General features: G+C 39.5%; 12 annotated features.

Annotated features, from left to right (window-relative positions):
• Positions 1,062–1,647: an enhancer, noted in NCBI's record as "OCT4-NANOG-H3K27ac-H3K4me1 hESC enhancer chr8:43829639-43830224 (GRCh37/hg19 assembly coordinates)". NCBI's record gives its function as "activates a minimal SCP1, AML or CMV promoter by ChIP-STARR-seq in naive and primed H9 embryonic stem cells {active_cell/tissue: H9 hESC(naive and primed)}" and the evidence as "EXISTENCE:reporter gene assay evidence [ECO:0000049][PMID:30033119]".
• Positions 1,648–2,231: an enhancer, noted in NCBI's record as "OCT4-NANOG-H3K27ac-H3K4me1 hESC enhancer chr8:43830225-43830808 (GRCh37/hg19 assembly coordinates)". NCBI's record gives its function as "activates a minimal SCP1, AML or CMV promoter by ChIP-STARR-seq in naive H9 embryonic stem cells {active_cell/tissue: H9 hESC(naive)}" and the evidence as "EXISTENCE:reporter gene assay evidence [ECO:0000049][PMID:30033119]".
• Positions 2,232–2,816: an enhancer, noted in NCBI's record as "OCT4-NANOG-H3K27ac-H3K4me1 hESC enhancer chr8:43830809-43831393 (GRCh37/hg19 assembly coordinates)". NCBI's record gives its function as "activates a minimal SCP1, AML or CMV promoter by ChIP-STARR-seq in naive and primed H9 embryonic stem cells {active_cell/tissue: H9 hESC(naive and primed)}" and the evidence as "EXISTENCE:reporter gene assay evidence [ECO:0000049][PMID:30033119]".
• Positions 2,817–3,400: an enhancer, noted in NCBI's record as "OCT4-NANOG-H3K27ac-H3K4me1 hESC enhancer chr8:43831394-43831977 (GRCh37/hg19 assembly coordinates)". NCBI's record gives its function as "activates a minimal SCP1, AML or CMV promoter by ChIP-STARR-seq in naive H9 embryonic stem cells {active_cell/tissue: H9 hESC(naive)}" and the evidence as "EXISTENCE:reporter gene assay evidence [ECO:0000049][PMID:30033119]".
• Positions 4,570–5,154: an enhancer, noted in NCBI's record as "OCT4-NANOG-H3K27ac-H3K4me1 hESC enhancer chr8:43833147-43833731 (GRCh37/hg19 assembly coordinates)". NCBI's record gives its function as "activates a minimal SCP1, AML or CMV promoter by ChIP-STARR-seq in primed H9 embryonic stem cells {active_cell/tissue: H9 hESC(primed)}" and the evidence as "EXISTENCE:reporter gene assay evidence [ECO:0000049][PMID:30033119]".
• Positions 5,155–5,738: an enhancer, noted in NCBI's record as "OCT4-NANOG-H3K27ac-H3K4me1 hESC enhancer chr8:43833732-43834315 (GRCh37/hg19 assembly coordinates)". NCBI's record gives its function as "activates a minimal SCP1, AML or CMV promoter by ChIP-STARR-seq in primed H9 embryonic stem cells {active_cell/tissue: H9 hESC(primed)}" and the evidence as "EXISTENCE:reporter gene assay evidence [ECO:0000049][PMID:30033119]".
• Positions 5,739–6,323: an enhancer, noted in NCBI's record as "OCT4-NANOG-H3K27ac-H3K4me1 hESC enhancer chr8:43834316-43834900 (GRCh37/hg19 assembly coordinates)". NCBI's record gives its function as "activates a minimal SCP1, AML or CMV promoter by ChIP-STARR-seq in primed H9 embryonic stem cells {active_cell/tissue: H9 hESC(primed)}" and the evidence as "EXISTENCE:reporter gene assay evidence [ECO:0000049][PMID:30033119]".
• Positions 6,324–6,908: an enhancer, noted in NCBI's record as "OCT4-NANOG-H3K27ac-H3K4me1 hESC enhancer chr8:43834901-43835485 (GRCh37/hg19 assembly coordinates)". NCBI's record gives its function as "activates a minimal SCP1, AML or CMV promoter by ChIP-STARR-seq in primed H9 embryonic stem cells {active_cell/tissue: H9 hESC(primed)}" and the evidence as "EXISTENCE:reporter gene assay evidence [ECO:0000049][PMID:30033119]".
• Positions 6,909–7,493: an enhancer, noted in NCBI's record as "OCT4-NANOG-H3K27ac-H3K4me1 hESC enhancer chr8:43835486-43836070 (GRCh37/hg19 assembly coordinates)". NCBI's record gives its function as "activates a minimal SCP1, AML or CMV promoter by ChIP-STARR-seq in primed H9 embryonic stem cells {active_cell/tissue: H9 hESC(primed)}" and the evidence as "EXISTENCE:reporter gene assay evidence [ECO:0000049][PMID:30033119]".
• Positions 7,494–8,077: an enhancer, noted in NCBI's record as "OCT4-NANOG-H3K27ac-H3K4me1 hESC enhancer chr8:43836071-43836654 (GRCh37/hg19 assembly coordinates)". NCBI's record gives its function as "activates a minimal SCP1, AML or CMV promoter by ChIP-STARR-seq in primed H9 embryonic stem cells {active_cell/tissue: H9 hESC(primed)}" and the evidence as "EXISTENCE:reporter gene assay evidence [ECO:0000049][PMID:30033119]".
• Positions 8,078–8,662: an enhancer, noted in NCBI's record as "OCT4-NANOG-H3K27ac-H3K4me1 hESC enhancer chr8:43836655-43837239 (GRCh37/hg19 assembly coordinates)". NCBI's record gives its function as "activates a minimal SCP1, AML or CMV promoter by ChIP-STARR-seq in primed H9 embryonic stem cells {active_cell/tissue: H9 hESC(primed)}" and the evidence as "EXISTENCE:reporter gene assay evidence [ECO:0000049][PMID:30033119]".
• Positions 8,663–9,246: an enhancer, noted in NCBI's record as "OCT4-NANOG-H3K27ac-H3K4me1 hESC enhancer chr8:43837240-43837823 (GRCh37/hg19 assembly coordinates)". NCBI's record gives its function as "activates a minimal SCP1, AML or CMV promoter by ChIP-STARR-seq in primed H9 embryonic stem cells {active_cell/tissue: H9 hESC(primed)}" and the evidence as "EXISTENCE:reporter gene assay evidence [ECO:0000049][PMID:30033119]".

The following is a 10,310-nucleotide window of genomic DNA, read 5'->3' on the forward strand; positions in this document are numbered from 1 at the left end:
TCTTCAAATCAAATCTAGCCAGAAGCATTCTAAGAAACATCTTAGGGATGTGTACATTCAAGTCACAGAGTTGAACATTCCCCTTTCTCAGAGCAGGTTTGAAACAATCTTCTCGTACTATCTGGCAGTGGACATTTTGAGCTCCTTGGGGCCTATGCTGAAAAAGGAAATATATTCCGACAAAAACTAGACAGAGGCATTCGCAGAATCACGTTTGTGATGTGTGAACTCAACTGTCAGAATTGAACCTTGGTTTGGACAGAGCACTTTTGAAACACTCTTTTTGTAGAATCTGCAGGTGGATATTTGGCTAGCTTTGAGGATTTCGTTGGAAAAGGTAATGTCTTCAAAGAAAATCTAGACAGAAACATCCTCTGAAACACCTTCGTGATGTTTGCAATCAAGTCACAGAGTTGAACCTTCCGTTTCATAGAGCAGGTTGGAAACACTCATTTTGTAGTATCTGGAAGTGGACATTTGGAGCGCTTTCAGGCCTATGGTGTAAAAGGAAATATCTTCCCATAAAAGCGACATAGAAGCTATCTCAGGAACTTGTTTATGATGCATCTAATCAACTAACAGTGTTGAACCTTTGTACTGACAGAGCAGTTTGAAACACTCTTTTTTTGGAATCTGCAAGTGGATATTTGGATCGCTTTGAGGATTTCGTTGGAAACGGGATGAATATCAAACGTACACAGCAGCATACTCAGAAAATACTTTGCCATATTTCCATTCAAGTCACAGAGTGGAACATTCCCATTCATAGAGCAGGTTTGAAACACTCTTTTTGGAGTATCTGGAAGTGGACATTTGGAGCGCTTTCTGAACTATGGTGAAAAAGGAAATATCTTCCAATGAAAACAAGACAGAAGCATTCTGAGAAACTTATTTGTGATGCGTGTCCTCAACTAACGTACTCAAACCTTTCGTTTCATGCAGTACTTCTGGAACACTCTTTTTGAAGATTCTGCATGCGGATATTTGGATACCTTTGAGGATTTCGTGGGAAACGGGCTTACATATAAAAATTAGACAGCAGCATTCTCAGAAACTTCTTTGTGGTGTCTGCATTCAAGTCACATAATTGAACATCCCCTCACATAGAGCAGTTGTGCAGCACTCTATTTGTAGTATCTCGAAGTGGACATTTGGAGGGCTTGGTAGCCTATCTGGAAAAAGGAAATATCTTCCCATGAATGCGAGATAGAAGTAATCTCAGAAACATGTTTATGCTGTATCTACTCAACTAACTGTGCTGAACATTTCTATTGATAGAGCAGTTTTGAGACACTCTTCTTTTGGAATCTGCAAGTGGATATTTGGCTAGATTTGAGGATTTCGTTGGAAACGGGATTATATATAAAAAGTAGACAGCAGCATTCTCAGAAACTTCTTTGTGATGTTTGCATCCAGCTCTCAGAGTTGAACATTCCCTTTCATAGAGTAGATTTGAAACCCCCTTTTTATAGTGTCTGGAAGCGGGCATTTGGAGCGCTTTCAGGCCTATGCTGAAAAAGGAAATATCTACCTACAGAAACTAGACAGAAGCATTCTGAGAATCACGTTTGTGATGTGGGTACTCAACTAACAGTGTTGATCCATTCTTTTGATACAGCAGTTTTGAACCACCTTTTTTGTAGAATCTGCAATGGATATTTGGATAGCTGTGAGGATTCGTTGGGAACGGGAATGTCTTCATAGAAAATTTAGACAGAAGCATTCTCAGAACCTGGATTGTGATGTGTGTTCTCCACTAACAGAGTTGAACCTTTCTTTTGACAGAACTGTTTTGAAACTTTCTTTTTATAGAATCTGGAAGTGTATATTTGGAAAGCTTTGAGGATTTCGTTGGAAACGGGAATATCTTCAAATAAAATCTAGCCAGAAGCATTCTAAGAAACATCTTAGGGATGTGTACATTCAAGTCACAGAGTTGAACATTCCCCTTTCTCAGAGCAGGTTTGAAACAATCTTCTCGTACTATCTGGCAGTGGACATTTTGAGCTCCTTGGGGCCTATGCTGAAAAAGGAAATATCTTCCGACAAAAACTAGACAGAAGCATTCGCAGAATCACGTTTGTGATGTGTGCACTCAACTGTCAGAATTGAACCTTTGTTTGGACAGAGCACTTTTGAAACACTCTTTTTGTAGGATCTGCAGGTGGATATTTGGCTAGCTTTGAGGATTTCGTTGGAAACGGTAATGTCTTCAAAGAAAATCTAGACAGAAACATCCTCAGAAACACCTTCGTGATGTTTGCAATCAAGTCACAGAGTTGAACCTTCCGTTTCATAGAGTAGGTTGGAAACACTCATTTTGTAGTATCTGGAAGTGGACATTTGGAGCGCTTTCAGGCCTATGGTGTAAAAGGAAATATCTTCCCATAAAAGCGACATAGAAGCTATCTCAGGAACTTGTTTATGATGCCTCTAATCAACTAACAGTGTTGAACCTTTGTACTGACAGAGCAGTTTGAAACACTCTTTTTTTGGAATCTGCAAGTGGATATTTGGATCGCTTTGAGGATTTCGTTGGAAACGGGATGCAATATAAAACGTACACAGCAGCATACTCAGAAAATACTTTGCCATATTTCCATTCAAGTCACAGAGTGGAACATTCCCATTCATAGAGCAGGTTTGAAACACTCTTTTTGGAGTATCTGGAAGTGGACATTTGGAGCGCTTTCTGAACTATGGTGAAAAAGGAAATATCTTCCAATGAAAACAAGACAGAAGCATTCTGAGAAACTTATTTGTGATGCGTGTCCTCAACTAACGGACTCGAACCTTTCGTTTCATGCAGTACTTCTGGAACACTCTTTTTGAAGATTCTGCATGCGCATATTTGGATAGCTTTGAGGATTTCGTTGGAAACGGGCTTACATATAAAAATTAGACAGCAGCATTCTCAGAAACTTCTTTGTGGTGTCTGCATTCAAGTCACAGAACTGAACATCCCCTCACATAGAGCAGTTGTGCAGCACTCTATTTGTAGTATCTGGAAGTGGACATTTGGAGGGCTTTGTAGCCTATCTGGAAAAAGGAAATATCTTCCCATGAATGCGAGATAGAAGTAATCTCAGAAACATGTTTATGCTGTATCTACTCAACTAAGTGTGCTGAACATTTCTATTAATAGAGCAGTTTTGAGACACTCTTCTTTTCGAATCTGCAAGTGGATATTTGGCTAGATTTGAGGATTTCGTTGGAAACGGGATTATATATAAAAAGTAGACAGCAGCATTCTCAGAAACTTCTTTGTGATGTTTGCATCCAGGTCTCAGAGTTGAACATTCCGTTTCATAGAGTAGGTTTGAAACCCCCTTTTTATAGTGTCTGGAAGCGGGCATTTGGAGCGCTTTCAGGCCTATGCTGAAAAAGGAAATATCTACCTACAGAAACTAGACAGAAGCATTCTGAGAATCACGTTTGTGATGTGGGTACTCAACTAACAGTGTTGATCCATTCTTTTGATACAGCAGTTTTGAACCACCCTTTTTGTAGAATCTGCAAGTGGATATTTGGATAGCTGTGAGGATTCGTTGGGAACGGGAATTTCTTCATAGAAAATTTAGACAGAAGCATTCTCAGAACCTGGATTGTGATGTGTGTTCTCCACTAACAGAGTTGAACCTTTCTTTTGACAGAACTGTTTTGAAACATTCTTTTTATAGAATCTGGAAGTGGATATTTGGAAAGCTTTGAGGATTTCGTTGGAAACGGGAATATCTTCAAATAAAATCTAGCCAGAAGCATTCTAAGAAACATCTTAGGGATGTGTACATTCAAGTCACAGAGTTGAACATTCCCCTTTCTCAGAGCAGGTTTGAAACAATCTTCTCGTACTATCTGGCAGTGGACATTTTGAGCTCCTTGGGGCCTATGCTGAAAAAGGAAATATCTTCCGACAAAAACTAGACAGAAGCATTCGCAGAATCACGTTTGTGATGTGTGCACTCAACTGTCAGAATTGAACCTTTGTTTGGACAGAGCACTTTTGAAACACTCTTTTTGTAGAATCTGCAGGTGGATATTTGGCTAGCTTTGAGGATTTCGTTGGAAACGGTAATGTCTTCAAAGAAAATCTAGACAGAAACATCCTCAGAAACACCTTCGTGATGTTTGCAATCAAGTCACAGAGTTGAACCTTCCGTTTCATAGAGCAGGTTGGAAACACGCATTTTGTAGTATCTGGAAGTGGACATTTGGAGCGCTTTCAGGCCTATGGTGTAAAAGGAAATATCTTCCCATAAAAGCGACATAGAAGCTATCTCAGGAACTTGTTTATGATGCATCTAATCAACTAACAGTGTTGAACCTTTGTACTGACAGAGCAGTTTGAAACACTCTTTTTTTGGAATCTGCAAGTGGATATTTGGATCGCTTTGAGGATTTCGTTAGAAACGGGATGCAATATAAAACGTACTCAGCAGCATACTCAGAAAATACTTTGCCATATTTCCATTCAAGTCACAGAGTGGAACATTCCCATTCATAGAGCAGGTTTGAAACACTCTTTTTGGAGTATCTGGAAGTGGACATTTGGAGCGCTTTCTGAACTATGGTGAAAAAGGAAATATGTTCCAATGAAAACAAGACAGAAGCATTCTGAGAAACTTATTTGTGATGCGTGTCCTCAACTAACGTACTCAAACCTTTCGTTTCATGCAGTACTTCTGGAACACTCTTTTTGAAGATTCTGCATGCGGATATTTGGATAGCTTTGAGGATTTCTTTGGATACGGGCTTATATATAAAAATTAGACAGCAGCATTCTCAGAAACTTCTTTGTGGTGTCTGCATTCAAGTCACAGAATTGAACATCCCCTCACATAGAGCAGTTGTGCAGCACTCTATTTGTAGTATCTCGAAGTGGACATTTGGAGGGCTTTGTAGCCTATCTGGAAAAAGGGAATATCTTCCCATGAATGCGAGATAGAAGTAATCTCAGAAACAGGTTTATGCTGTATCTACTCAACTAACTGTGCTGAACATTTCTATTGATAGAGCAGTTTTGAGACACTCTTCTTTTGGAATCTGCAAGTGGATATTTGGCTAGATTTGAGGATTTCGTTGGAAACGGGATTATATATCAAAAGTAGACAGCAGCATTCTCAGAAACTTCTTTGTGATGTTTGCATCCAGCTCTCAGAGTTGAACATTCCCTTTCATAGAGTAGGTTTGAAACCCCCTTTTTATAGTGTCTGGAAGCGGGCATTTGGAGCGCTTTCAGGCCTATGCTGAAAAAGGAAATATCTACCTACAGAAACTAGACAGAAGCATTCTGAGAATCACGTTTGTGATGTGGGTCCTCAACTAACAGTGTTGATTCATTCTTTTGATACAGCAGTTTTGAACCACACTTTTTGTAGAATCTGCAAGTGGATATTTGGATAGCTGTGAGGATTTCGTTGGAAACGGGAATGTCTTCATAGAAAATTTAGACAGAAGCATTCTCAGAACCTGGATTGTGATGTGTGTTCTCCACTAACAGAGTTGAACCTTCCTTTGGACAGAACTGTTTTGAAACATTCTTTTTATAGAATCTGGAAGTGGATATTTGGAAAGCTTTGAGGATTTCGTTGGAAACGGGAATATCTTCAAATCAAATCTAGCCAGAAGCATTCTAAGAAACATCTTAGGGATGTGTACATTCAAGTCACAGAGTTGAACATTCCCCTTTCTCAGAGCAGGTTTGAAACAATCTTCTCGTACTATCTGGCAGTGGACATTTTGAGCTCCTTGGGGCCTATGCTGAAAAAGGAAATATATTCCGACAAAAACTAGAGAGAGAAATTCGCAGAATCACGTTTGTGATGTGTGCACTCAACTGTCAGAATTGAACCTTGGTTTGGACAGAGCACTTTTGAAACACTCTTTTTGTAGAATCTGCAGGTGGATATTTGGCTAGCTTTGAGGATTTCGTTGGAAACGGTAATGTCTTCAAAGAAAATCTAGACAGAAACATCCTCTGAAACACCTTCGTGATGTTTGCAATCAAGTCACAGAGTTGAACCTTCCGTTTCATGGAGCAGGTTTGAAACACTCATTTTGTAGTATCTGGAAGTGGACATTTGGAGCGCTTTCAGGCCTATGGTGTAAAAGGAAATATCTTCCCATAAAAGCGACATAGAAGCTATCTCAGGAACTTGTTTATGATGCATCTAATCAACTAACAGTGTTGAACCTTTGTACTGACAGAGCAGTTTGAAACACTCTTTTTTTGGAATCTGCAAGTGGATATTTGGATCGCTTTGAGGATTTCGTTGGAAACGGGATGCAATATCAAACGTACACAGCAGCATACTCAGAAAATACTTTGCCATATTTCCATTCAAGTCACAGAGTGGAACATTCCCATTCATAGAGCAGGTTTGAAACACTCTTTTTGGAGTATCTGGAAGTGGACATTTGGAGCGCTTTCTGAACTATGGTGAAAAAGGAAATATCTTCCAATGAAAACAAGACAGAAGCATTCTGAGAAACTTATTTGTGATGCGTGTCCTCAACTAACGTACTCAAACCTTTCGTTTCATGCAGTACTTCTGGAACACTCTTTTTGAAGATTCTGCATGCGGATATTTGGATACCTTTGAGGATTTCGTGGGAAACGGGCTTACATATAAAAATTAGACAGCAGCATTCTCAGAAACTTCTTTGTGGTGTCTGCATTCAAGTCACATAATTGAACATCCCCTCACATAGAGCAGTTGTGCAGCACTCTATTTGTAGTATCTCGAAGTGGACATTTGGAGGGCTTTGTAGCCTATCTGGAAAAAGGAAATATCTTCCCATGAATGCGAGATAGAAGTAATCTCAGAAACATGTTTATGCTGTATCTACTCAACTAACTGTGCTGAACATTTCTATTGATAGAGCAGTTTTGAGACACTCTTCTTTTGGAATCTGCAAGTGGATATTTGGCTAGATTTGAGGATTTCGTTGGAAACGGGATTATATATAAAAAGTAGACAGCAGCATTCTCAGAAACTTCTTTGTGATGTTTGCATCCAGCTCTCAGAGTTGAACATTCCCTTTCATAGAGTAGATTTGAAACCCCCTTTTTATAGTGTCTGGAAGCGGGCATTTGGAGCCCTTTCAGGCCTATGCTGAAAAAGGAAATATCTACCTACAGAAACTAGACAGAAGCATTCTGAGAATCACGTTTGTGATGTGGGTACTCAACTAACAGTGTTGATCCATTCTTTTGATACAGCAGTTTTGAACCACCCTTTTTGTAGAATCTGCAATGGATATTTGGATAGCTGTGAGGATTCGTTGGGAACGGGAATTTCTTCATAGAAAATTTAGACAGAAGCATTCTCAGAACCTGGATTGTGATGTGTGTTCTCCACTAACAGAGTTGAACCTTTCTTTCGACAGAACTGTTTTGAAACATTCTTTTTATAGAATCTGGAAGTGGATATTTGGAAAGCTTTGAGGATTTCGTTGGAAACGGGAATATCTTCAAATAAAATCTAGCCAGAAGCATTCTAAGAAACATCTTAGGGATGTTTACATTCAAGTCACAGAGTTGAACATTCCCCTTTCTCAGAGCAGGTTTGAAACAATCTTCTCGTACTATCTGGCAGTGGACATTTTGAGCTCCTTGGGGCCTATGCTGATAAAGGAAATATCTTCCGACAAAAACTAGACAGAAGCATTCGCAGAATCACGTTTGTGATGTGTGCACTCAACTGTCAGAATTGAACCTTTGTTTGGACAGAGCACTTTTGAAACACTCTTTTTGTAGGATCTGCAGGTGGATATTTGGCTAGCTTTGAGGATTTCGTTGGAAACGGTAATGTCTTCAAAGAAAATCTAGACAGAAACATCCTCAGAAACACCTTCGTGATGTTTGCAATCAAGTCACAGAGTTGAACCTTCCGTTTCATAGAGCAGGTTGGAAACACTCATTTTGTAGTATCTGGAAGTGGACATTTGGAGCGCTTTCAGGCCTATGGTGTAAAAGGAAATATCTTCCCATAAAAGCGACATAGAAGCTATCTCAGGAACTTGTTTATGATGCCTCCAATCAACTAACAGTGTTGAACCTTTGTACTGACAGAGCAGTTTGAAACACTCTTTTTTTGGAATCTGCAAGTGGATATTTGGATCGCTTTGAGGATTTCGTTGGAAACGGGATGCAATATAAAACGTACACAGCAGCATACTCAGAAAATATTTTGCCATATTTCCATTCAAGTCACAGAGTGGAACATTCCCATTCATAGAGCAGGTTTGAAACACTCTTTTTGGAGTATCTGGAAGTGGACATTTGGAGCGCTTTCTGAACTATGGTGAAAAGGGAAATATGTTCCAATGAAAACAAGACAGAAGCATTCTGAGAAACTTATTTGTGATGCGTGTCCTCAACTAACGGACTCGAAGCTTTGGTTTCATGCAGTACTTCTGGAACACTCTTTTTGAAGATTCTGCATGCGGATATTTGGTTAGCTTTGAGGATTTCGTTGGAAACGGGCTTACATATAAAAATTAGACAGCAGCATTCTCAGAAACTTCTATGTGGTGTCTGCATTCAAGTCACAGAATTGAACATCCCCTCACATAGAGCAGTTGTGCAGCACTCTATTTGTAGTATCTCGAAGTGGACATTTGGAGGGCTTTGTAGCCTATCTGGAAAAAGGAAATATCTTCCCATGAATGCGAGATAGAAGTAATCTCAGAAACATGTTTATGCTGTATCTACTCAACTAACTGTGCTGAACATTTCTATTGATAGAGCAGTTTTGAGACACTCTTCTTTTGGAATCTGCAAGTGGATATTTGGCTAGATTTGAGGATTTCGTTGGAAACGGGATTATATATCAAAAGTAGACAGCAGCATTCTCAGAAACTTCTTTGTGATGTTTGCATCCAGCTCTCAGAGTTGAACATTCCCTTTCATAGAGTAGGTTTGAAACCCCCTTTTTATAGTGTCTGGAAGCGGGCATTTGGAGCGCTTTCAGGCCTATGCTGAAAAAGGAAATATCTACCTACAGAAACTAGACAGAAGCATTCTGAGAATCACGTTTGTGATGTGGGTACTCAACTAACAGTGTTGATCCATTCTTTTGATACAGCAGTTTTGAACCACCTTTTTTGTAGAATCTGCAAGTGGATATTTGGATAGCTGTGAGGATTTCGTTGGAAACGGGAATGTCTTCATAGAAAATTTAGACAGAAGCATTCTCAGAACCTGGATTGTGATGTGTGTTCTCCACTAACAGAGTTGAACCTTTCTTTGGACAGAACTGTTTTGAAACATTCTTTTTATAGAATCTGGAAGTGTATATTTGGAAAGCTTTGAGGATTTCGTTGGAAACGGGAATATCTTCAAATAAAATCTAGCCAGAAGCATTCTAAGAAACATCTTAGGGATGTGTACATTCAAGTCACAGAGTTGAACATTCCCCTTTCTCAGAGCAGGTTTGAAACAATCTTCTCGTACTATCTGGCAGTGGACATTTTGAGCTCCTTGGGGCCTATGCTGAAAAAGGAAATATCTTCCGACAAAAACTAGACAGAAGCATTCGCAGAATCACGTTTGTGATGTGTGCACTCAACTGTCAGAATTGAACCTTTGTTTGGACAGAGCACTTTTGAAACACTCTTTTTGTAGGATCTGCAGGTGGATATTTGGCTAGCTTTGAGGATTTCGTTGGAAACGGTAATGTCTTCAAAGAAAATCTAGACAGAAACATCCTCAGAAACACCTTCGTGATGTTTGCAATCAAGTCACAAAGTTGAACCTTCCGTTTCATAGAGCAGGTTGGAAACACTCATTTTGTAGTATCTGGAAGTGGACATTTGGAGCGCTTTCAGGCCTATGGTGTAAAAGGAAATATCTTCCCATAAAAGCGACATAGAAGCTATCTCAGGAACTTGTTTATGATGCCTCTAATCAACTAACAGTGTTGAACCTTTGTACTGACAGAGCAGTTTGAAACACTCTTTTTTTGGAATCTGCAAGTGGATATTTGGATCGCTTTGAGGATTTCGTTGGAAACGGGATGCAATATAAAACGTACACAGCAGCATACTCAGAAAATACTTTGCCATATTTCCATTCAAGTCACAGAGTGGAACATTCCCATTCATAGAGCAGGTTGGAAACACTCTTTTTGGAGTATCTGGAAGTGGACATTTGGAGCGCTTTCTGAACTATGGTGAAAAGGGAAATATGTTCCAATGAAAACAAGACAGAAGCATTCTGAGAAACTTATTTGTGATGCGTGTCCTCAACTAACGGACTCGAAGCTTTCGTTTCATGCAGTACTTCTGGAACACTCTTTTTGAAGATT

Source organism: Homo sapiens, chromosome 8, assembly GCF_000001405.40.
Source record: "Homo sapiens chromosome 8, GRCh38.p14 Primary Assembly".
NCBI classification, from domain to species: Eukaryota; Metazoa; Chordata; class Mammalia; order Primates; family Hominidae; genus Homo; species Homo sapiens.